This window comes from Homo sapiens, chromosome 10 (assembly GCF_000001405.40).
Source record: "Homo sapiens chromosome 10, GRCh38.p14 Primary Assembly".
In the NCBI taxonomy this organism is placed as follows: Eukaryota; Metazoa; Chordata; class Mammalia; order Primates; family Hominidae; genus Homo; species Homo sapiens.
Genome location: NC_000010.11, coordinates 5,057,770 through 5,081,930, shown reverse-complemented (window position 1 = coordinate 5,081,930; position 24,161 = coordinate 5,057,770). Strand labels below are relative to the sequence as shown.

Sequence of the window (24,161 nt, the reverse complement as noted above, 5' to 3'; positions counted from 1 at the left end):
TTAGAAAAAACACTGACAGAAAGAAGCAAGAAATCAGGAGCTCACTGGTTTCTTCTTCTGTCCTCTTCCCCATGGGGCTGAGGGCTCCTGATGAGTGATCAAATGCTAGGAGAGGATGAATGGTACCACATTATTACCAGTGCCCAGGACAGATGCTAAGCTGGGCAGTGATGTTTTGCAGAGAAGCCTCAGGGGAGAGACACAGGAGAGGGAAGAAAATGGGGAGTAATGCTGCCTTTGAATTCACACCTAGAAAGGAGGCAGAATCAGGATTAGTGAACAATATTCAGGATTTTGCTTAGTTGGTTGGCTTTATGGGAGTCCTGAGAATGTTGGCTGGTGCCAAAGTTGAACGATGTACTGAGAGAAACAGCCTTCCCTGAGTAAAGTAAAATTATGTCATTAACCACAAAATATATTTCTTATATACAATGATTGTTTTTCAGAGACTCTCAAAACAAGTGCTTATTTTGGAGGAATATTTTTATTCATGTGAAAGCAAGTTTTTGGTCAATGCAAGCATTTTGGCCACATAAGTCAATGGCCACTGCGGCCCAACTGTCCCTCAGAACAAATGTGTTTAATGAAGGTGACACCATCCTTATAAAATCAATAAAACTGAATGAATGTCTAGGTTTTTAGCAAAATCAAAGCTTTTGAGTTGAAGGGTAGTTAAACATTAACCAGCTATGCCCCACAGGCCACTTTCTTATAGCTGCTTATAGCTTATAGCCTGTATTACAAGGCCCTAACTTCTATAGATAACTTCTGTAATGTGAAGAAGTTTCAAATTTTCCATATTTTCCAGATCCTGCATTCCAACAGATCCACTGATACCATCCTGTGTAAATACCCACTTTAAGGAACTGATTTGATCCTAGAATGCACTTACTATATCTTTATGTTTTCATCCCCCACACCCTAACTAATCAGTAACCCCCCCACTCCTCAGCCCTCTATCTGCCAAAAGTCCCTTGAAAACCCCATTCTAAAACTCCTTGGGGCAGTGAATTTGAGGTTGCGTCCTACCTCCTCCTTTGGCCGTCATTTGATCATTCAACTCTTTGTCAGTGGCAACTCCCGCTATTTTGGTGTGTTGGTTTGTTACTACACAGTGAGCACAAACATGGTGGTCCAATACAGAGGCTCTTCCTGTCAGGTGTCAACCAGAAAGTTCATCTAACACTACGAAGAAAGTGAGACACAGATAGTGGCTTCCTTAAGATCCTTCCATCCTTCCTAAACACTACACATTCAATGGCAGGCTCTGTGAAATCTTTGTTTGTTTGTTTGTTTGTTTGTTTGAGACGGAGTCTCAGTCTGTCACCCAGGCTGGAGTGGTGCAGTGGTACAATCTCAGCTTACTGCAACCTGCACCTCCTGGGTTCAAACAATTCTTCTGCCTCAGCCTCATGAGTAGCTGGGACTAGAGGTGCATGCCACCATGCCCAGCTAATTTTTGTATTTTTATTAAACATGGGGTTTCACCATGTTGGCCAGGCTGGTCATGAACTCCTGGCCTCAAGCAATCCACTTGCCTTAGCCTTCCAACATGCTGGGATTACAGACATTAGCTACCGCACCCAGCCAGGCTCTGAGAAATCTTATAATTACAAAACTAAAGGTGATAATTATGCAAGTAAGTATACTTGCACAAGGAAAGATTTTTTTCTCAACACGATTTTTAACATTTTCACACACTCATTCACATTCCCATACAGTGTTTCCCATCTCCACATCTTAAGATGTTCTTACTCCACATCTTAACCAGACGCTCTTACCGGCCTATGTCCGGACATGGGCAGTGAGAGGGAAGGAAAGAAAAAAGACAAAGATCTTGGCACTGATGGACCTCAGTTATGTAAATACCAGTATAGAGGCCGTGCACAATTCCTTCATTGCCATTGTCCAGGTCATGTTTGCTCATTCCCTGACTCTGATTCATTATTTCGCTTTAACTTTTCTGCTTTGCATACCATGCAGATACCCCTGCAGGTGCAAAGAAAATTTTCTTTCCTCGCCCTTCTGAAGTTTTGGTGACTTGATTACATAAGATACACTGACAATGGAATAATTAACATAAAATGCATATAAATTCATATACATGTACATGGAGCAGCAAATATGAGACTCCAAGCAGGACCAGATGATTGAAGATTTCCTCACATCCTGAGGCTACAGAGAGAATAGGGGCTTGGGGTCTCTCGGGGAGGTGGGGTCTCAGGTAATGGGGGAGAGAGAGAGGTATGCTTGGTGAGCCAAGGCTGTCCCCACACAGATGTGAGTCTCTCAGGGGCTCCCCAAGCTGCCCTCAGGAAGATAGACAGTGGCCTATGGAGAAGTTTCTCAGTCAGACCTTTAAAGCATTAGGATCTCAGTCTGTTTTTCCTGGGAGTTAATCTTTCCTTGATCCAATTAGGCAGATAAGGTGGGGGTGGGGTGTGCCTCAGAGAAATGCTTTTCTCCTCTGTTCACTTCACTAACGTGTATTTCCTCAGCACTTGCAAATCTCTGCCAGAGAAGAAAGCTTTTCAGGGCTATTTCTGTGTCTGCAGCCTCTCTGAATTGTAGCCCCTCTTAACAGCAAGATCAAAATATACCAAAAAAGTACATTTTGAGTGGCACATTTTGTTTTATTGCACCCTGTATGACAAGTCTTAAAAGCTAAGAGTGCACCATGAGCTCCTCAGTTGGGGGCCCCACTCCTGCCTCCTGGGAAGGCAGATACCACCCTCAGACACACTGGACAAGAGCATCAATAAATGAAATGATTTTAAAACAAATAGCTCCATTTTATGTGCCTATTTCCAACCACCTGGCACAAAAGTAAAACACCTGTGCAACTCAGAACAAGTACAATGATCCAGGCTGGCTACTGGAAGGTCTAGCATGCCATCCAAGTCCTCTAGTCATGGTAAGTCAGCAAGACTCACAAGGAGACTGGAGTTAACACTATCGAGACACCTTTACATGAACACGTCTAGTGAGTGTTAATGCCTTAAAGAAGGTGGAGGAGAAATGTCTGCACCCAACAGCAGAAGGGCCTGTTCTACTCATCACTGCAGACCAGGCATCTGAAGCTCTTCTTGTCTTATTTAACCTTGAGGCAAATAGTCCCTTGCTTCAATGGCAAATATTTTCAACTTACCATGCTATTCACAAAGCAGAGATAACAGCATTTAAACCACATGTGCTCTTAATCTCTCTGGGCCCTGCCTATATGTATGAACAAATTTAAATTACTTGCATGTCCTCCAGTGAGATCCCTATTCTATTTAAAAATCATATTGAGGAATATGTCGGACTGGAGAGAAAATCAACTCACGAACAGGTACTGTACTTTGCTGATGACCTGCCTTGCATTTAACCCTTTTTTCATTTGACCCAAGAATTCTCACCAGTGGCACTCGTGGTGGCAGTTTACCCTGAGAAAACTTTGCCACAAACTATCTCGCTTTTATGATTATGATTATGGTTATTATTATTTGAGACAGATTCTTGCTCTGTTGACCAGGCTGGAGTGCAGTGGTGCAATATCAGTTCACTGCAACGTCCGCCTCCCAGGTTCAAGTGATTCTACCTGCCTCAGCCTCCCGAGTAGCGGGGACTACAGGCACATGCCACCATACCTGGCTAATTTTTGTATTTTCAGTAGAGACGAGGTTTCACCACCATTCACTGGCCAGACGAGGTTGGCCAGGCTGGTCTCGAACTCCCAACCTCAAGTGATCCACCCGCATCAGCCGCCCAAAATGTTAGGATTAAAGGCATGAGCCACCGCACCTGACTTATTATTATTTTTGAATCACTCTAGTATGTTGACTTTGGAAACAAAAGACATCATTCCTTTTATAGCTTTCTGTTTTTGTAATGGTATTTCCATTTACAAAATATAGTAATCATATTTTCAGCTCACTGACAATGTCACATCTTAGAAAATGTAGGATTCTTACCTGTGATATTTGCATCCTTCTTGAACAGTTGTTGGCTGAAGATTCATTTGATGAATCGATTTTTCAAAAGAGATGATTCTGATGATTCAAAGAATTCTGATCTTAGTTCTGTTTAGAAATAACTCCGAGAACAGTTTTTATATGTTATTTTTACATTGAAAATCGGTCAGATTTGCTTCAACCTCAAGGAACATGTTAATGTAAAACTAAATGGGCACTGGCAGTGAGCTGCACCTTTTTTTTTCTTTTTTCTCTAAAGGGAAAAGGATTAAATGTTTGGTTAGTTTCAATGGCAAGCAAACCATCCTGCCATTTTACTAAGGGGAATGTTCAGCAAAAACCAAACTCCTTGCCCAGACAGGCAAGCAATTAAATCAACTTTAATGTTTTACCCATTGTCTTCAGAAATCCATTCAAAAGACAAACCTTGCATTTCCATAATAGGACACAGTGACTTGGTGCCAGTCTCTTAAGAATAAAGTACTTAGCTAGGGTAGGGAGTCAAGAAGAAATGGGAATTGTGGAACTCCAGTTTCCCACAAGAACATCATTCTAACAAGCAACAGAAGGAAATGAAAACCTATAGTCTTGACATGACCCATTAATTTCTGGGGAGATAACTGTAGCTTCCTTGCTTTTTGATTTTTCTCCCCTGGATGCCAAGAATATATAAAATCACATTTTCAGGTATCCATACAGACCCTCTTCTCTCTATGAGAGAAAAATACCCAGGGCTTGTGGGGATACAGGGCCCCTTTGGTCAAGTGATTAGTTCTTTGCTCCTCAAAACTCAGTCCAACGTGGTTTTTCCAATGTGGAGGTGGACAAGAGGGGAATATTAACCTCATCACTAAACCACCACGAATGTTCTTTAGTGAAAAAAAAAGATTATCCTGTTTAACCAGGGAAATGGCTAGAGATTTCAATGAACAATTCAAGTTCATGTAAAGAATTTAATGAGTTCAATAATCCCAATGAGGTGCTGAAACAGAGACCACAGTGGATGTGAGACAACCAAATACAAAGATATTTTAATTTTATGCATGACTTCAAAAACCAGATTTTTCATTATGTGCGCCAAGTAGCCACATAATTCTGGGCATGACTGTTTAAAACAGGAATGTGCAAATAAAGCAAAGGCAGTGCTCCTTTGGCTGGGTAATGGCGTAGCATGTCAGGAGGGAGAACTTCCCCCAGACAGAGCTCTATGCATGACAGTGAGGAATCAAGTGAGTTTTACGATATGTCTTATAGAGCCTAAAAATGAGACACATGAAAAGAGATGCTTCCAAAAACAACAGAAGGAAATAGAAGGCATGAATTAGTACAGAGCATGTGATAGTGTAAGCCATAAATGAAAGACAACAGGAAAATTTCACCATCAGTAACAAGCAAAGAAAAATGTAGATGAAGCCGGATCAAGGAAAAGCTGAACATTGGAAACTGCAAAATTTTATAAAGTAGTGTCTTAGTCCATTTCCTGCTAATATAATGGAATACCTGAGACTGGGTAATTTATGCAGAATAGAGATTAGTTTTTTACAATTCTAGAGTGGAGAGAGAGAGAGAGAGACAGAGAGAACAAACTCAACTTTTTATCAGGATTTCAATCTCCGATAACTAACTCACCTGAGATAATAGCAATAATTAATGAATGAGGCAAATCCCTCATGATCTAATTATCACTTAAAGGTCCCACATCTCAACACTATTGCATTGAGGATTAAGTTTCCAACACATGGACTTTGGAGAACACATCAAACCATAGCAAGTAGGTAACACAGAATTTTAATTTCCTAGGACACAACTACTAGAGTTGTTGCTATGATTTGAGAACTACTGTTACATCATCTTATTTAAGTGTGTTTTGTGTGTTTGCAACCGTAAAAACAGGCTTAAATGCAAGTGAAAGGTGGTTGCTAAAAGGATCCTGGGTGATTCCAAAAATAAAGGGTGAAACAACTGGGATTTGAATAGCTCAGAAACCAGTGCAGCTCAGGATATCTTAGCCCCAGCAACCTGTGCCCCTCCATCTCTCTAGAGCCCCCCTAGTAATACATCCGAGCCCCCGTGACTCCCATATTCCTTGACTTTTTTTTTTTTGAGATGGAGTTTTGCTCTTATTGCCCAGGCTAGAGTGCAATGGCATGATCTTGGCTCACTGCAACCTCTGCCTCCCGGGTTCAAGTGATTCTCCTGCCTCAGCCTCCCGAGTAGGTGGGATAGGAGGCATGCACCACCATGCCCGGCTAATTTTGTATTTTTAGTAGAGACAGGGTTTCTTCACGTTGGTCAGGCTGGTCTCAAACTCCCAACCTCAGGTGATTCGCCCACCTCAGCCTCCCAAAGTGCTGGGATTACAGGCATGAGCCACAATGCCTGGCCATTCCTTGACAAATGGCTTTTTTCCACATGACAAATTCCCTTGGGAAAAGCTCTGATTGAGAATAAGTGTCTACCAGTAGATCAATCCTTTATGGTCCGACAGGGTGTTAAAAAAAACTTATTTATGACATTTCCTAAAACACAGTGAGAAATACTTCACTCAAGGGGGGCCATGGCGTTAGATGTAGGGCCACTTAATTTGGGTCTTTCTGTGGGAGAGCGATCATGCTGGTGGGGGCCAAGGGAAAAAATTTTCTCTACCTTCTTAAGTTCACTAAAAATTCACCTAACAAAAGGCAGATTAGAAAGAGAAAAGGCACACAAACTTATGACCATGTGTAGGGGAGAACCACAGAGCAACGTGTAAACCATCTAAGTTTATAAAAAAAAAATGAGAGAGGGACTTAAATCTTGGCAAAACAGATTGTAGTGGCAACATGGGTTATGGGAGGGAGAAAAGAGGAGGCCTGGCTAGCAGAGGTCTTGTTATTGTCAACCAAAGAATGATGAGACAGGTCTCAGTAATTTTAGGAGATTTATTTGCCAAAGTTGAGGATGCACCCAGGAGACAGGTCTATGCCTTTCTCTGATTTTGAGGGCTCCAAATTTAAAGGGGAAAGGGCGGGATATTGAGAAGCACACAGTTCTCACATCAACAACAGGGGGCAGAGGAAAAATATGGGGACTCTGCATTTTACATAAGATAACACAGACAAAATGGGGTAGGTGAACAATCGGAAATGCATTTGTGTCTGTGGGGTGACCGCAACTGTAAAGATAAGCTATGGATTTGTATCACCATGGTGAAGTTTCAACAGCTCACCAGGAATTTCCTTGTGGACAAAATATGGGGGAGGTGGGTAGCCTTTCATCTTGTAGCCATCTTATTTAGGAACCAAAAGAGGGAGGCAGGTTTTTGTGTCCCAGTTCCTGGCTAGAATTTTCTCTTTGGCTAAAAGAGTTTCGGGTACCAAAATTTAATCTTCTTGCACACTATGTCAATGAAACCTCACAGATAGCAGCACTTAAGAGAAGAGATGGAAAATGTTTTCTTCAGACCTTTAAAGATGTCAGACCGTCAGTTAATCTTTCCTAAGTCAAAGGGAAAGCCTCAGAGAAAGCCTGGCTGCATCCAAGCAGAGTTTCTCTACAGGTGCAAGCCTCTCTCATAACAGACAGTTTTCAGCTGTTCTTGTATTTCCTGCCCTTCTGAATAGCCATCTTGAAATTTGTCAAAATACTTTCTTTTAGAGTATGGACCCCCAAAATCTGAGAGAGGTCTCAGTTAATATAGAGAGTTTATTTTGCCAATATTGAGGACAAATGACCATGACACACCCTCAGGAGGTCCTGAGGATATGTGTCCAACGTGGTCGGGGCACAGCTTGGTATCATACATTTTAGGGAGACATGAGACATCAATCAACACATGTATGATGAACATTGGTTCAGTCCGGAAAGGTGGGACAACTTGAAGTGGGGAGGGGGCTTCCAGGTCATAGATAGATAAGAGACAAATGGTTACATTCTTTTGAGTTTCTGGTTAGCCTCTGCAAAGGAGGCAATCAAATATGTAATTATCTCGGTGAGCAGACGGGTGACTTTGAATAGAATGGGGGGCAAGTTTGTGCTGAGCAGTTCCCAGCTTGACTTTTTTCTTTAGCTTAGTGATTTTGGGGCCCTAAGATTTATCTTCCTTTCCCAAGAGTGAAATATTTTGGTTTCCTTCAAGCTCAACTCTGCCTTCAACCAAGACAAGTGGGGATTTACAACCACAGAACAGGGTGAGGTCAAGGAGGAAGAATTACTAACAAGAAGCACCCAAGGTGAGGGTGATGTTCTTGATAGCAGCAAGGCAGAAACTCTGGAATACCAAAATACAGTCATGGCAGTCTTTTCATTTTTCTCATGTCTCCTTGGTACTAATCAAATATGTCAATGCTCTGCCCTTGGCCCTCTTGAGAAGGTGGGGTTTTCAATTCTTCATATGGTTCTGTGATCTGGGCTGGAGCTGCTCGCTGAGTCATGTGGGTAAGACTGAGAGAGAAAGGGGGTCCATGTGCTCAGGACAGTGGATGTAATTGGGCTGTCCCACTGAGGAGTCTGTGTAGGGGAGGGTTGTTCTATGTCTTCCATTATGTTACCAAAGGTAGAAATTATGGGCCTATGGGGATCTCCAATCTCAATCTTTTACCTAATTTGGGACAACTGTCAAGTCTGTTCTCCTTTATATTGGAGAATAATGTTAAAAATGAAATCTCCTGCCATTCTACAAAACTCTCTATAAAGTAGAAAATAAAGAAAATAATTTTCTTATTAAAAAAGCATTAGGGCTGGGTGCAGTGGCTCACACCTGTAATCCCAGCAATTTGGGAGGCTGAGGCAGGCGGATCATGAGGACAAGGGTTCGAGACCAGCCTGGCCAACATGGTGAAATCACATCTCTACTAAGAATACAAAAATTAGCTGGGTGGGGTGGTGCCTGCCTGTAATCCCAGCATCTTGAGAGGCTAAGGCATGTGAATCACTTGAACTCAGGAGGCGGAGGTTGCAGTGAGCCAAGATTGTGCCACTACACTCTAACCTGGGAGAAAGAGCAAGACTCTGTCTCGAAAATAAATAAATAAACAAATAAAATTTAAAAAGCATTAAACCAGGCTGCAATGTGCATCACAGGTAACATGCTAAAGAGATTACAAAGACAGAAAGAAATCTCACCCCTTTATATAGCCAAGAAATATAATCCTTACATGCATCTTCTTGAGATAAATGATAACTGGTCTTCATGTAATAAGGCCTAACACCACCATTTTTTATAACATTCTTTCAAACATTCTTTTTATAACATTCTCCATCCTAAATTCACCTGGTAATTGGGGTATCCTTCTGTGCTAGACAGTCACCTTTATCCCAAGGAAAAATAACATTTCTTTATGACAAGCAGGCAGTTGTAGCTTGGAGTAAGGGGCCCATGGAGATAGGAAGTTATCTTTCTTGATATTTTCATTTCCAAAGAGTTGTCTCTCTTACCCTTAACACAACACTGGCAGGTTGCAATTCTGGCTAGAGGCTTAGTCAGCTTTTCAAAAAACTGACATGCATAATAAAGGGACTAAGGAAGAGTTTACAAATACAATTTTTTTCTTAAGAAAATAGTCTAAGACATGAGCATAGAAGAAAAGGTCTCTATCCTTATTGGCAACAGGAAAAACTCAGCTTTTACAAATGACCCTTACATTTGCCTAGAAACTTGAAGTTCAAGCAAGCATGCTTTCTAAACAGAAGGCTTTAAAGATTCTAATTGCAGTCACATACTCTCCTCCCTGAGGTGGATCATTACCTCGTATTTTAGTGATCAAATATAAGCATTTATTTTGACTTATGCCAGGGTTTGGCCATAAATTAAACACATTTGTAAATCCCTAATACTTAAATTGCTGCTCAATAGTACTAGAACCCAGAGATAAGTGTCACATAGGCTGGTCTTCATTCCCACCTGTCTGTAGCTATTAAATCATAAGAGCCAGAAAAAAAACAAATTCTGCTATTGCTAAAGTCAAAGACAAAGAAAGCTGGGTACTGATTAACATGGTGAGGACAGGTTTTATCAGTAACATAACATCGCAGTAGAGAAGAGGTCCAGCGTGAACTGAACTGAACTATGATCTATGCAAGATGACTCAGCATTTTAAAGGGAAAATGAGGGAGAAGGGAAAGGCTGAGCAGAGACTGAGTGGAATCAGCCAAGCGGAAAATTACAAAAAGTAGGAAGGGGCTGCTTGGGCCATGTGATTAGTCCCTCTGGGTTTGCTAACTGGAACTAAGGGAAGTTGGACTCCTGCCCTCTGTGAGACTGGGAGACAGGCATTTCTTCAGACATTGCTGGAACAAATACTGAATTCTTTTGGAAGCCGTGAGTTTTCTCAGGCTGGCTCTTTAACAGGGCTTGGTTATCTATTGATGTAGCCTTGAACTGTTAGAAATTATGTTTGGGTGTGTTCAGATCCTTACAGACCAAGGCGAGGCCTATTTCAAAAGAGACTCAGAGGAGCCTGGGGAAAGTCTGTTCAAGAAGAGAATCCGTGCCACTGTGTGGGGTGGTCTGTGCCTTAGTCACCGTGAGTTGTGAAAAACAGGTGTTACCAGTACTGACACGCCTCTAAGGAGTCTTTGTCATATTTGATTTGGTCCTCATGCTCTTTGGATTTTACTCTCATTATGTAGAGAGGGAATAGACAGAGCCCATGAGAGCAGGGAGAGTCTCTGCCACTGATCTCCCTTGCTTATTTATTCTCTTGCTCCTGATCTCTTACTCTCCTGCTTTGCACCATGGAGCACCACAGCAGGAAGGCTCTCATCCAATGAGATCACTATGGCCTTGGAATTTCCAGCCTCTGGAGCCATTAGCCAAATATACCTCTATTGTGTAAGAACCAGCCAGTTACAGTTATTTTGTTATAGCAACATAAAGCACAGTAAGATACAGCCATATAATTCTCTGTAAATAAGTGGAAATCCATTGTGAGGCAACAAAAAGAAATGTTTCCAGAGTAGCTGGGACAATCCACTTCAGCCCATCAATACCACCCCATAGAAGCAAAGCAGACATGAAGATCACCTATCAGGGCTCCTAAAATACCCCCAAAACACTGGTTAAGTCTAAGCCTCCTTCTAACAGGCTGTCTTAGTTCATGACAGCTGCTATAACAAAAGACTGCAGACTGGTTAGTTATAAATATCAGGCATGGATTGCTCACAGATCTGGAGGCTAGAAGCTCAAGATCAAGTGCAGACAAATTTAGTGTCTAGTGAGGCCCTGCTTCCTGACTCATAGATAGCTGTCCTCTTTCTATCCTCATGTCACAAAAGGGACAAGCACTCTCTCTTGAATCTCTTTAACAAGGACACTAATCCCATTTATTATGGTTCCACACTCAAGATCCAATTGAGACAGAAAAATAGGGTCTGGAGACAGGGAACACAAGGCCAATTCACACTTCAGCTATGACAGGAAATGTCCTCTCCATAAGGTATATTCCAGGTAAATGACTTTGTAACCTCACTTCACCCTTTTCATTTACATAGTGTGTACACCAGGCAACCAGTGAAAATCCCTAGAGAGTATTTAAACCCCCACAAATTCTGTAACGAGGCCCTTGAGCCACTACGCTCAGGCCCACTTCCACAATGTGGAGTGTACTTTTATTTTCCATAAATATCTACTTTTGTTGCTTCATTATTTCTTTGCTTTTTTGTGCATTTTGTTGAATTCTTTGTTCAAGATGCTGAGAACCTGGACACCCTCCACTGGTAACATATTTTGCTGAGCCAGCCAGGAGAAATTCCAGCAGAAGCTAGGCCCAAAGATTAGGATTTATTTCTCTCCTTTCCTTTCTGTTTCATACAGGGGAATCTCTCCTTGGTGGGCAGTGCCTAAACACAGAGAAAACTGCAGAATTCTGGCTATGGCCAGTGAAAACTAAGGGTGTCCATGTGAAGGCACCTAACCGTCACCAACCAGTTTGCTTAAGGGACCTGGGTCTTCTCTTTTTTTCCTTTCTTTCATTTTCAGCCTCTCAACAACTGCTTTCTAGCAGCTCCTTGAAAATTGAAGGCAATTGGCTGGAGTCACTCCCAGGTATTGCCTGAAGGCCTAGGAATGAATGGGACTATTTGCCCTGCGCAGAAGGCGGAAGGGCTCTTTTCCTTTTTTTTTTTGAGACAGAGTTTCACTCTTATTGCCCAGGCTGGAGTGCAATGGTGTGATCTCAGCTCACCACAACCTCTGCCTCCTGGGTTTAAGCAATACTCATGCCTCAGCCTCCCAAGCAGTTGGAACTACAGGTGCCTGCCACCATGCTGGGCTAATTTTTGTATTTTTAGTAGACGGGGGTTTCACCATGTTGGCCAGGCTCATCTTGAACACCTGACCTCAAGTGATCCACCTGTCTTGGCCTCTCAAAGTGCTGGAATTACAGGCATAAGCCACCATGCCTGGCCAGGAATTCTTGCTTTTTAGGGTTTCGCTTAAGTTTTAGGTTATAAGGATAAGAATTCTAGTTAACACATAATTCAGTAGGCAAAATGTGCTGGAAAAGATTATGTTAGTAGTGAGAAAAAGAATAACTTTGTATAATTCAGAAGTTATCAAATTCTAACTAACTTTTTGGATTTTAGGCTTCTAGACAGTTTAAGCATGTTGAATATACTTTCATAAATAGAATTTGAGTTCTATTTCTCTCTCTGCCTAATTTCTTCAAAATTTGTAAACTATTTGTGAATATTCTTAATTCATGGCAATATGTTTGTCTGCATACAGTTGAGCAGGGTCCCTAGGGCCACTCAGGGAGAAAGAACCCAGAAACCAGACATGCTTGCAAAAGAATATTTCTTACCAGTTAGTCTCTGGTCTCTTTCGCTCTGTGCAAACTGGTTAAATGAAAGGTAAAAGTCACCATTTGTCCCTTCTGTAAAGTTTTAAATTGGTTTAATAATAATATAAGAGCTTAAATCAAATATTTTGTCAGAAAAGTGAAAAATGTAATGCTTTTTATTTAGTTCATGTGACTTGAGTAATCTTTAGGAAATAAACAGTTTTAAAGATTATTGGTAAAATACAGTTGTCTTGAAAATGTAAACATGTGGTCTAAGTTATGTTCAAATATTAGGTTTGCTAAATGCTTTAAGGTCATAAACTGCTTCTTTGGTGTTTGAAATTTGTTTAACTTGCCTGCTTTCCAGCTAGGTAAGGCCTGAGGACAGCCCACTCGGGATGGCCCTGGGGGCTTCTGAGATGAAAGAGGCCTTCTTGGGAGGCTCCCAGCATTCCCTGTGCTCTTGCCTCTTCTCCCCTCTGCCTGCCTGAAGATCCCCCTGAGTCCCTGCCACCCCCTCTCCATGGGGAGTTGGCCATGCCCCTAACTATGCTGGAAACATTCTAATCTTATCAGAACACAACTTAGCAGGTTTTACATTACAATTAAGATTGCTAGGAGTCACCATTAACATGTAATTAAGATTACTAGAAACAGTTTTATATGCAAGATGTGTAAGAATAGTAAAATGTGTTTTTTTTTTTTTTTTGGTAAAAGGTTATAAAGGGTTTTTGCTTAAAATTTCTGAGTCATCATTTTGGCAAAATAAGTAATTTAGGGCAATCTGGAATTCCAAAATCAAACTTCAGTTTCAAAATTGTCTTTTCTAATGCCTGGCTTTTTGGATGGATCAGATGGCCCCTGAAAACATCCAGAAAAGAGGTAAACAAGATTATTTAACATGTTTAGGTACATGGGATCACCAAAATGATGTTCAATCTTCTTTAGGTTATATTTTGTGAATAATGCTAATGTATGTTCTAAGATTATATGGAATTTCTAAAATTCAAATGTCTAATTATATGCCATCAACTATAATTATGATTATTATGTTACTATAAACCATAGAAATAACCAAATTTTCTTGTATAAAGCTACTAATCCAAGTAGAACAAAAAAATTAATCAAATACCAAGAAAATACTTTGTCAGATTTTCATGTTAAACAAGCTAATACTAAAATTATTTAAATATACAATTTGAATAAACTCCATGGTCTGAGTCAAATCACCCATGGTAACTCATCAGCTATCAGTACAATGCACCTAATTTGGAGAATCAACTGGTATTCAAGAGGATATAAGTCTAATGTTAATCAAGTTTAGACTCATGGAGAACCAGGATGGCCACATTGTCCTTCCTGAGTCCTTAAAGCATTTATTATTAAAAGTTCTGCACTCCATGACTCACCATGGAAAAGATAAAATAATCCAATTTGAGTACATTGGTGTGGAAACTTACAAATTACTAACATAGTTTATAACTATTGTTTGGCCCCATATTCCTGGGAATACAAAGCTTCAGGTACATTCAGTTACCTGGTGTGCAATTTAGACATTTTATGAAAGGATGTCATTCAATTGTTATTTTCAATGCATGTTTTCTGGTTGTATAAAAGCTTTCCCATGCAAGAGGGCTGGTGTTATAACAGTAGATTATTATGCTACAGTATATTTTCACCAGGTAAAAAAAGCTTTCAATTGTTTGGATCTTCTGAGAACATCAGAAGATCTTGCCATCTGCACTACAACAAAACTTTGGGACCTTGAACTTTGGGTACATAATCTCACAACTGAGAAAGTTCCCTCCACACTCTTGGAATTGTACACTCATTGGAGCCCTTAAGGTAAAACTAACCAGGGAAATTTCTCCCAAAATGAAGATGGCATCCTTGATGTGAATATCTTTTCCCAAGTTAACAGATTAACACTTCTACTGTCATGAAATTCTTATCTTTTATTATTTTTTCTTGCTTATGCCTCTCTGAACAATAGAAATGGAAAAGGGATCTGTTATGTGCACTTATGGGGTGTACTTTTGTTTAAGGAATTTGCAGCCAGCCTTATAAGTGGATAAACTTATACTTTGTTAGATAAAGGACAAAGGCCCAATGTACTTAAGAAACTTTAATGGTACATATGTTGCCTAATAATCATTCAAAAACAAACAAACAAACAAACAAACAATGATTCACTCCTCTTAATCCACATCATGGGTTAAAGAGAACATTGCCAGGAGGCCTTCACTCTTTTAGAAGGGCATCATTTGTTAAGTGCTTTTTCCATGGTTTAGAGTAGAGAAGCAATGAATAGAAATGTACCCCCATTATATGCTCTATAGCAAATTTTACTGTAAGGCCTACAGTTAAACAACAGACTTTAAATTCTTTTGTGAAAGTTATAATAGAGTTGGATGAACAGAAAAGTATCTATGCTGCAGCTGGCACTTATGACCTACGGAAAAATACATTAAATGAAGATTATGGAAATTCAGTGAAGGAGATGAGACTGCTAAGTTAAGTGAGTAGACTCTTTATCTAGCTCATTCTTTAATCGATTCTATTTTAGGAGGTTTGGCTTATGGGGACCTTCGATGAGCACCATACTCCAAACTCTAGGTATTATGCTCCCAATAGTCATAATAATAGTCTCGTTGCTGCGCTATATTCTCTCAAAGGTTTTAAATGCTTATATGCAACCATCACTAGGATGTCATTTGGTCTCTCTTCGACTGGAATAACAAGAGCTGAAAGAAATGTGCAACCATGAGGACACCGTAACCTGTCAATGACATGCTGAGATGGGAAACCCAAAATGATGGTAACTGAGAGTGGCACTAAGGCCCTAAGTTTTGGTCACATTCTCACCTAAGTGAGAACCTGATCAAAAAGGGGAAATTTCTGAAATGAAATGATAGGAGGCCATTGTTTTGGACTGGGCTCATGCACTAAGCCTCAACAGACCAAACCAAACCAAAATGGAGTCGCTAGTTCTAAGACTTTAAGGAAACACACAGATCCTAGAACACACCACAAGCAAAATTTTGTTTGTCTCCTGCAAATCTCTATAACAAACATTCTCGACAGCATAGGTATCCACCCCTGAAGTTCCCAATAAATGTTTTAACCCAATTCATTTCCTCTCACCTAGAGACCATCTAGCTTCAGATGATCATGCAACAAAGGCTCCAGCCAATTCCAGGTAAAGACACCACCCCTGGCCATCAAGGAGATACCCTGCCTCCACTAGAGAGAGCAGAGTGAGAGTTCTGTGATCCTCAATAGGTAGAAACTACACCCCAAGCCAGCATGAAGCAGCTACAGAAGAAAGACCAGCTGTCCCTCTGCCTCCCATAAAGATTTATGAAGATCACATCTCTCAGTGGGGAAATGAGTCAAGAAAATAATGTCTGGAGGCAGGGAACATAAGGCCAATTAACACTTCAGCTATGACAGGAAATATCCTTTCCATAGGGTGTACACTAAGTGACTTCGTAACCTTACTTTGTCCTCTTCATTTACATAGGGCATACAGCAAGTAACCAATGGAAACTGCTAGAGTGTATTTAAACTCCCACAAATTCTGTAATGGGGCCCTATGCTCATGCCCATTACCACACTGTGAAGTGTACTTTCATTTCGAATAAATATCTCCTTTTGCTACTTTATTCTTTCCTTGCATTTTTTTCTGCATTTTGTCCAATTCTTTGTTCAAGAAGCCAAGAACCTGGACACCCTCTTTCGGTAACACAATCAACTCCTAAGTACCAACCTCCTAATATCATCATCTTGGAGGTTAAAATGTGGTATATACATTTTGTGAGAATGTAAAGATTTCTTTATCCAGTCTGGTGTTGACAGGCATTTAATTTGATTCCATGACTATGCTATTGTGAACAGTGTTACAATGAACATATGCATGCACGTGTCTTTATGATAGAATGATTTATATTCTTTGAGCTATATGCTCAATAATGGGATTGCTCGGTTGAATAGTAATTTTGTTTTAAGTTCTTTGAGAAATCACCACACTGCTTTCTACAATGGTTGAACTAATACACCAGCAGTGTATAAGTGTTCTCTTTTCATTAGAACCTTAGCAGCACCTGTTATTTTTTGACTTTTTAGTAATAGCCATTCTGACTGGTATGAGATGGTTTCTCATTGTGGTTTTGATTTACATTTCTCTAATGATCAGTGATGTTGAACATTTTTTTCATATGCTTGTTTGCCACAAGTATGTCTTCTTTTAAAAAACATCTGTTCATGTATTTTCCCCACTTTTTAATTTTTTTTTTTTGCTTATTTTGTTTAGGTTTCTTGTAGATTCTGGATATTGGAACTCATCAGATGCATAGTATAATAATAGGCATTCTGACTGGTATGAGATGGTATCTCATTGTGGTTTTGATTTACATTCCTCTAATGATCAGTGATGTTGAGCATTTTTCATATGTTTGCCACAAGTATGTCTTCTTTTAAAAAGCATCTCTTCACGTATTTTCCCCACTTTTTAATGGAGTTGTTGTTCTTTTTGCTTGTTATTTTGTTTAAGTTTCTTGTAGATTCTGGATATTGGACATTCATCAGATGCATAGTGTGTGGGCATTTTCTTCCATTCTTTAGGTTGTCTGTTTATTCTGTTGCTAGTGTCTTTTGCTGTGTAGAAGCTGTTTAGTTTATTAGGTCCCACTTGTCTTTTCTGTTTTTCTTGCAATTGCTTTTGGTGTCTTCATCATGAAATCTTTGCCAGGGCCTATTTCAGAATGGTATTTCCTGGGATATCTTCAAGGGTTTTTCATAGTTTTAGGCTTAAAACTTAAGGTTTTAATATATTTTGAGTTGATTTTTTAATACAGTGTAAGGAAGGCTTTCCCGTTTCAATCTTCTGCACATGGCTAGCTAGTCATCACAGCATCACTCGTTGAATGATTGCAGGTGTGCAGCATTATTTCTGGGACTTCTCTAGTGTTCCCTTGGTCCATGGGCCTGCTTCTGTACTAGTACCCTCATGGGTGACTTTGAGGAATTCAAGACTTCAGTGGAGAAAATAACTGCAGATGTGGTGGAAATAGTAAGAGAACTATAGTTAAAATTGGAGCTTGAATATTACTGAATGGTTGCAATCTCACGATATAATTTTACCAAATGAGAAGCTACTTTTATGGATGAGCAAAGAAACTGGTTTGGTGAAATAGATTCCACTTCTGATGAAGATGCTGTAAACATTCCTGAAATGACAGCAAAGGATTTAGAATATGACATAAACGTAGTTGGCGAGGCAATGACATTGAGAGAATTTTCTCTTCATGCTTTCATGTCCCCACAGTGATGGAGCTGCCTCACAGAGCCTTTCTCAGAAGATAGCCCAGGCATTACATGACACATGACTGTCATTTTTGACAGGGAAAGAGTTACTTGTGCCATTTTCCTTTTTTTTTTTTTTTTTTTTTTTTGCTGAGACAGAGACTACCTCTGTCCTCCAGGGTGGATTGCAGTGGCGCAGTCTTGGCTCACTGCAACCTCTGCCTCTGAGGCTTCTGAGTAACTGGGGTTACAGGCTTGCACCACTACACCTGGCTTAATTTTGTGTTTTTAGTAGAGATGGGGTTCCACCATGTTGGCCTCAAACTTCTGGCCTCAAGTGATCTGCCTGCCTCAGCCTCTCAAAATGCTGGGATAACAGGCATGAACAACTGCTCCCAGCTACTTGTGCCATTTTCAATGTTTCCCACTCTCTATAGCTTTTTGTCCTTCATATTCACCTTTACTACCATTTCGTAAGGTTATGTGATTTTTTAAAATGACATTGGTATTTCTTTCTCATTTCCTGTGGAGTATATTCTAACACAGTTATTCTCTGTTCTGTGGGGATGACATACGATTTAATAAAATCATAGCAATTTACTTTGAATCAATGCCAATGTAACTTAAATTTTATATAAAAACTCTCCCTTTCCCCAGGTTTTTATTCCACTTCACATTGTTTTGTTACTAATTACAGCTTTCTACATTGTGTACATATTAACTTAGAATTATACTTATTTGTATAAATTCATATTTTAAATCTTCAAGAAAAATAGAGTACAATTCCAAAATTTCAAAAATACATGTTTTCATATTTTGCCACCTATTCACATTGACTAGGACATCTTTATAGGTCTAAATGGCTGTTAGTTACTATCTATTTCCTCTCCTTCATCCTGAATTATTCACTTCAGCATTTCTTGTAGAGAAAAAAATAATGAATCAGGGATTGGAGGTCCCTATACCATTTTCTTACATTCCCAAGTGTTCCTAAAAACCAAGTGTTGAGCTTTGAGAAATTACAAGTTTTTTTGTTTTCTTTCCTTTTTTTTTTTTTTTTAACTAGGAGTTCTGTGGAAATAGAGGGCTAAGTAATGAACTGGCTGGAATAAGCCTGTAGCAGATCTAGTATTTACAAATGACTGCCCTAATGATTATCTCACATCTGGAAAAACATGTTATGCTTGCTAAAGAAATTCGACATTTAAAATTTTTTCTTAGGAGTTACACACTTGACCTGTAAGTTTTGAGAAAATGTCACTGTTTTCTTGGTAATTACCTCAATCAACTTTATGAGATGTGAAATAATTATTAGTTAAAATAAGAAAGTGCAGGTGGAACAGGATGGCACTGGTTTACATGGTTTGCTTGAGACATGCTAAGGGTGAATGTTCATTAGACACTAATACGGAGATGTAGAGCACACATTATTATGTTCTGTCCTGGAGTTTGGAGGGAAAAGCTCAGCTACAAATATTTTTAGAGTGTTTCTCAACCTAGAGGTGGTATTTAAAGCCAGAGACCATCAAGGGAATGAAAATAGACAGAAAACAGTCCACGAAATTGGCCTAGGGCACTCCAAAGTTTATAGCCTCCCTGAATTTTAAGGAATACATAGTTTAAGGAAAGATTGTGGGCTGCAAAACATGCTGGGAGACCTGACTTGAGAAAGCCTCTTTGATGGGGTTAAGGTGGCCGCCAGAGTAAGAACAGTTGAGTGAAAGTGTTAGTGTGCCCAGGTCAAAAACCACTGTCCTCAAAATGCTTTCACCAGGATATCCCAAGTTCTCAAAAGAGTATTCTGAAATGAAAATTTATGTCCCCATGATTAGCTGATTTACTTTGTACTCCTAAAAACTATGTGAAAGAATTACATGTCTTTGTAAGAGTTGTTCCTAACATTTACTAAAGTTTGAAAACTTTGTGCAATTTTGCAAACACTGTTTCCAAAAGATTTTTGGGATTTTGGAGAGTTTGCTTTATTAGATGTATTATTCACCATTTTGGCCTTAATTTGAGAGTAATATGTAATGGCTTTAAGACATTTTGTCTTTCATACTTACAAGCATGCCTTATTTTATGTATGAAACATTTAAAAACATCAAGTATAATAAATTAATAGTATATTTCTGGAATCTAAGAACATTTTCTAAAGATGGGTTGGTAGTTAGGGGAATCTGATCAGTCAATGGTGTCTTCAATGTCCTGTCCTACCACAGCTCAATAGGGTCAATACTGTAATTGGGCATCAGAGGTCCAGGCCTGACTCTCAGCTCTGGGGTTTCTTGAAGGATTGTGGAGAAAGTTTCCTTTTATGCACAACATATAATTATCCCAAAATGTTGCCAATGCGTTTTTCCAAGCATACATGTACTCAACCCCCTCCTTCTAAACCTCTTCCATATCTGACCTGTAATCATTTCTTCTGGCTGTGTGCCCTCCCTCCTCACTGAACACCCCTCCCATAGGGATGCCTCATTCCTAGGCTCTGGGAGCTCTGATCTCCACACTGCTGGAGGAAGCCCATGGATTCCTGGTCATCCTGTCAATAGCCCTCATCCTCCAGACTCCATGCTGTGTGTTTTCTTGTTCCTCAAATAGCTAAAGATGCACTGATATATACCTGTCACCAGCTCCTTCTTCAGAAGCTGGAAATCATCCATGCCCACCTCAAAAAGGTCTGCAAAATGGTTGTCATCATCTCCCACTGAGAGGTGACAGTGTGCTGGCAGCCCTTGCAGTCCTCGCTCACTCTCGGTGCCTCCTTGGCCTTGGCGCCCACACTGGCTGCACTTGAGGAGCCCTTCAGCCCGCCGCTGCACTGTGGGAGCCCCTTTCTGGGCTGGCCAAGGCCAGAGCTCGCTCCCTCAGCTTGCAGGGAGGTGTGGAGGGAGAGGCACGGGAGGGAACTGGGGCTGTGCGCCACGCTTGTGGGCCAGCGTGAGTTCCAGGTGGGCATGGGCTCAGCAGGCCCTGCACTTGGAGCAGCTGGCCAGCCCGCAAGCCCCAGGCAGTGAGGGACTTAGCACCTGGGCCAGCAGCTGCTGTGCTCAATTTCTTGCCGGGCCTTAGCTGTCTCCCCACAGGGCAGGGCTCAGGATCTGCAGCCCGCCATGCCTGAGCCTCCCCACCTCTGTGGGCTCCTGTGCAGCCTGAGCCTCCCCAACAAGTGCCACCCCCTGCTCCACAGCGCCAAGTCCCATTGACCACCCAAGGGCTGAGGAGTGCGGGCACATGGCACAGGATTGGAAGGCAGCTCCACCTGCAGCCCCAGTGTGGGATCCACTGAGTGAAGCCAGCTGGGCTCCTGAGTCTGGTGGGGACTTGGAGAAACTTTATGTCTAGCTAAGGGATTGTAAATACACCAATTGGCACTCTGTATCTAGCTCGAGGTTTGTAAACACACCAATCAGCACCCTGTGTCTAACTCAGGGTTTGTGAATGCACCAATCGACACTCTGTATCTAACTACTCTGGTGGGGACTTGGAGAACCTTTGTGTCTAGCTCAGGGATTGTAAATGCACCAATCAGCACCATCAAAACGGACCAATCAGCTCTCTGTAAAACAGACCAATCGGCTCTCTGTAAAATGGAACAATCAGCAGGATGTGGGTGGGACCAGAAAAGAGAATAAAAGCAGGCTGGCCAAGCCAGCAGTGGCAACCTGTTCGGGTCCCCTTCCACACTGTGGAAGCTTTGTTCTTTTGCTCTTTGCAATAAATCTTGCTACTGCTCACTCTTTGGGTCCACACTGCCTTTATGAGCTGTAACACCATGAAGGTCTGCAGCTTCACTCCTGAAGCCAGCAAGACCACGAACCCACCAGGAGGAATGAACAACTCCAGACGTTCCACCTTAAGAGCTCTAACACTCACCACAAAGGTCTGCAGCTTCACTCCTGAGCCAGCGAGACCATGCACCCACCAGAAGGAATAAACTCCAAACACATCCAAACATCAGAAGGAAAAAACTCCAGACATGCTGCCTTTAAGAACTGTAACACTCACTGCGAGGGTCCGCGGCTTCATTCTTGAAGTCAGTGAGACCAAGAACCCACCATTTCTGGACACATTTTGGCGACCACGAAGGGACCATCACCTATTGCCAAGGGGTGAGACTATCGCCGAGGGGTGAGACCATCAGCTATCACTGAGCAGCGAGACTATCGCCTATCGCCAAGCACTGAGTACCATCAGACCCCTTTTGCTTGCTATTCTGTCCTACTTTTCCTTAGAATTTGGGGGCTAAATACCGGGCACCTGTCAGCCAGTTAAAAGGGACTAGTGCGGCCGCTGGACTAAAGACACGGGTGTCAGGCTTTCTGGGAAAGGGCTAACAACCCCCGACTCTTCGGAGTTGGGACCATTGGTTTGCCTATAACCAGCTTCTGCTTTTCCTGTATTTCTGGGCTGAGCCAAGGGTCAACAGAGAGGAAAACCATGCAGCTCCGGGTTCCTGATGACAAGTTGGTTGACCCTGCAGCCATGAGTGGAACTCTCAAAGGCATGTCGCCCAAGTGAGACTCACTCATCTATCCTATCTATCCTGACCCTTGCCCCCTGGGTCCTAAAGCTTGCCAGAGAAACTTTCTCTTGACTCTCTTCTCCAAGGTTAGTCTTGCTTCTAAAGACTGCTACCTGTCTCTGGTGTTTTTCTAGTTTCTCCCATAAGAATGACTTCTAGTATCAACTCTGTTACCTTCTTTAGGCACCTGGATTCACCAATCAGAAAGACATAATTTTTGCCCAAAGCCCCATCATAGTGGGGACTACCTGGAATTTTAGGATCCCTCCTCAGACTAACAGGCCTAACAAAAGCTATTCCTGAAGCTAGGATGTGGGGAGCCTCAGAAATTGTATCCTTCCTATTCATATAAGTAAAGACAAAAGGTGTCACTCTTCCAACCCTGGAGATCCCTTACCTCCGTCAGGGTAAGGTCCTTCACTTCATTTTTGGGGCATAACATCTTTACAGGACAGGGGTAAAGTCCTAATACTAACCGGTGAATGCTTAGGACTCTAACGGGTTTTTGAGAATGTGTCGGTAAGGGCCACTAAATCTGATTTTTCTCAGTCAGTCCTCCTTGTGGTCTAGGAGGACAGGCAAGGGTGCAGGTTTTCGAGAATGTGTCGATAAGAGCCACTAAATCCAACCTTCCTTGGTCCTCCATGTGGTCTGGGAGGAAAACTAGCGTTTCTGCTGCTGCGTCGGTGAGCGCAAGTATTCCAACCAGCAGGGTCCACGGACCATTGCAGGTTCTTGGGCAGGGGTTGTTTCCACTGCTGCGTTGGTGAGCACAGGTATTCTGATCAGCAGGGTCCAGGGACTGTTGTGGGTTCTTGGGCAGGGGGAGAAACAAAACAAACCAAAACCACAGGCAATTTTGTCTTTCAGATGGGAAACACTCAGGCATCAACAGGCTCACCCTTGGAATGCATCCTAAGCCATTGGGACCAATTTGACCCACAAACCCTGAAAAAGAGGTGGCTCATTTGTTTCTGCACTACAGCTTGGCCCCAATATTCTCTCTTTGATGGGGAAAAATGGCCACCTGAGGGAAGTACAAATTACAATACTATCCTGCAGAGCTTGACCTTTTCTCTAAGAGGGAAGGCAAATGGAGTGAAATACCTTATGTCCAAGTTTTCTTTTCATTGAAGGAGAATACACAACTATGCAAAGCTTACAATTTACATCCCACAGGAGGACCTCTCAGCTTACCTCCAGATCCTAGCCTCCCTATAACTCCCCTTCCTATTAATGATAATCCTCCTCTAACCTCCCCCGCCCAGAAGGAAATAAGCAAAGAAATCTCCAAAGGACCACAAAACCCCCCGGGCTATTGGTTATGTCCCCTTCAAGCTGTAGGGGAGGGGAATTTGGCCCAACCCGGGTACATGTCCCCTTCTCCCTCTCTGATTTAAAGCAGATCAAGGCAGACCTGGGGAAGTTTTCAGATGATCCTGATAGGTACATAGATGTCCTACAGGGTCTAGGGCAAACCTTTGAGCTCACTTGGAGAGATGTCATGCTACTGTTAGATCAAACCCTGGCCTTTAATGAAAAGAATGCAGCTTTAGCTACAGCCCGAGAGTTTGGAGATATGTGGTATCTTAGTCAGTAAATGATAGCATGACAGCCGAA

The 24,161-nt window shown here is 41.5% G+C and overlaps 1 protein-coding gene and 2 long non-coding RNA genes across 4 annotated transcripts in view; 1 reads left to right on the top strand and 2 right to left on the bottom strand.

Moving 5' to 3' along the window:
- AKR1C3 (aldo-keto reductase family 1 member C3) overlaps window positions 1–24,161 on the bottom strand; it is a 58,906-nt gene that overhangs the window by 25,756 nt on the left and 8,989 nt on the right. The window lies entirely within an intron of this gene.
- LOC107984198 (uncharacterized) overlaps window positions 960–24,161 on the bottom strand; it is a 47,905-nt gene continuing 24,703 nt past the window's right edge. Inside the window, exons 4-5 of the long non-coding RNA XR_001747341.2 lie at window positions 3,954–4,031; window positions 960–1,185 (exon numbers count right to left, since the gene is read on the bottom strand). This is a non-coding gene — a long non-coding RNA (uncharacterized LOC107984198). The remainder of the gene's footprint in view (window positions 1,186–3,953; window positions 4,032–24,161) is intronic.
- On the top strand, window positions 8,962–16,377 carry LOC124902366 (uncharacterized). Of its 2 annotated transcripts, XR_007062040.1 has the most exons (3): window positions 13,577–13,594; window positions 14,395–15,230; window positions 15,861–16,377. It is a non-coding gene; the product is annotated as an uncharacterized LOC124902366 (long non-coding RNA). The 2 variants fall into 2 exon arrangements; XR_007062039.1 differs by having other exon boundaries at window positions 8,962–15,230.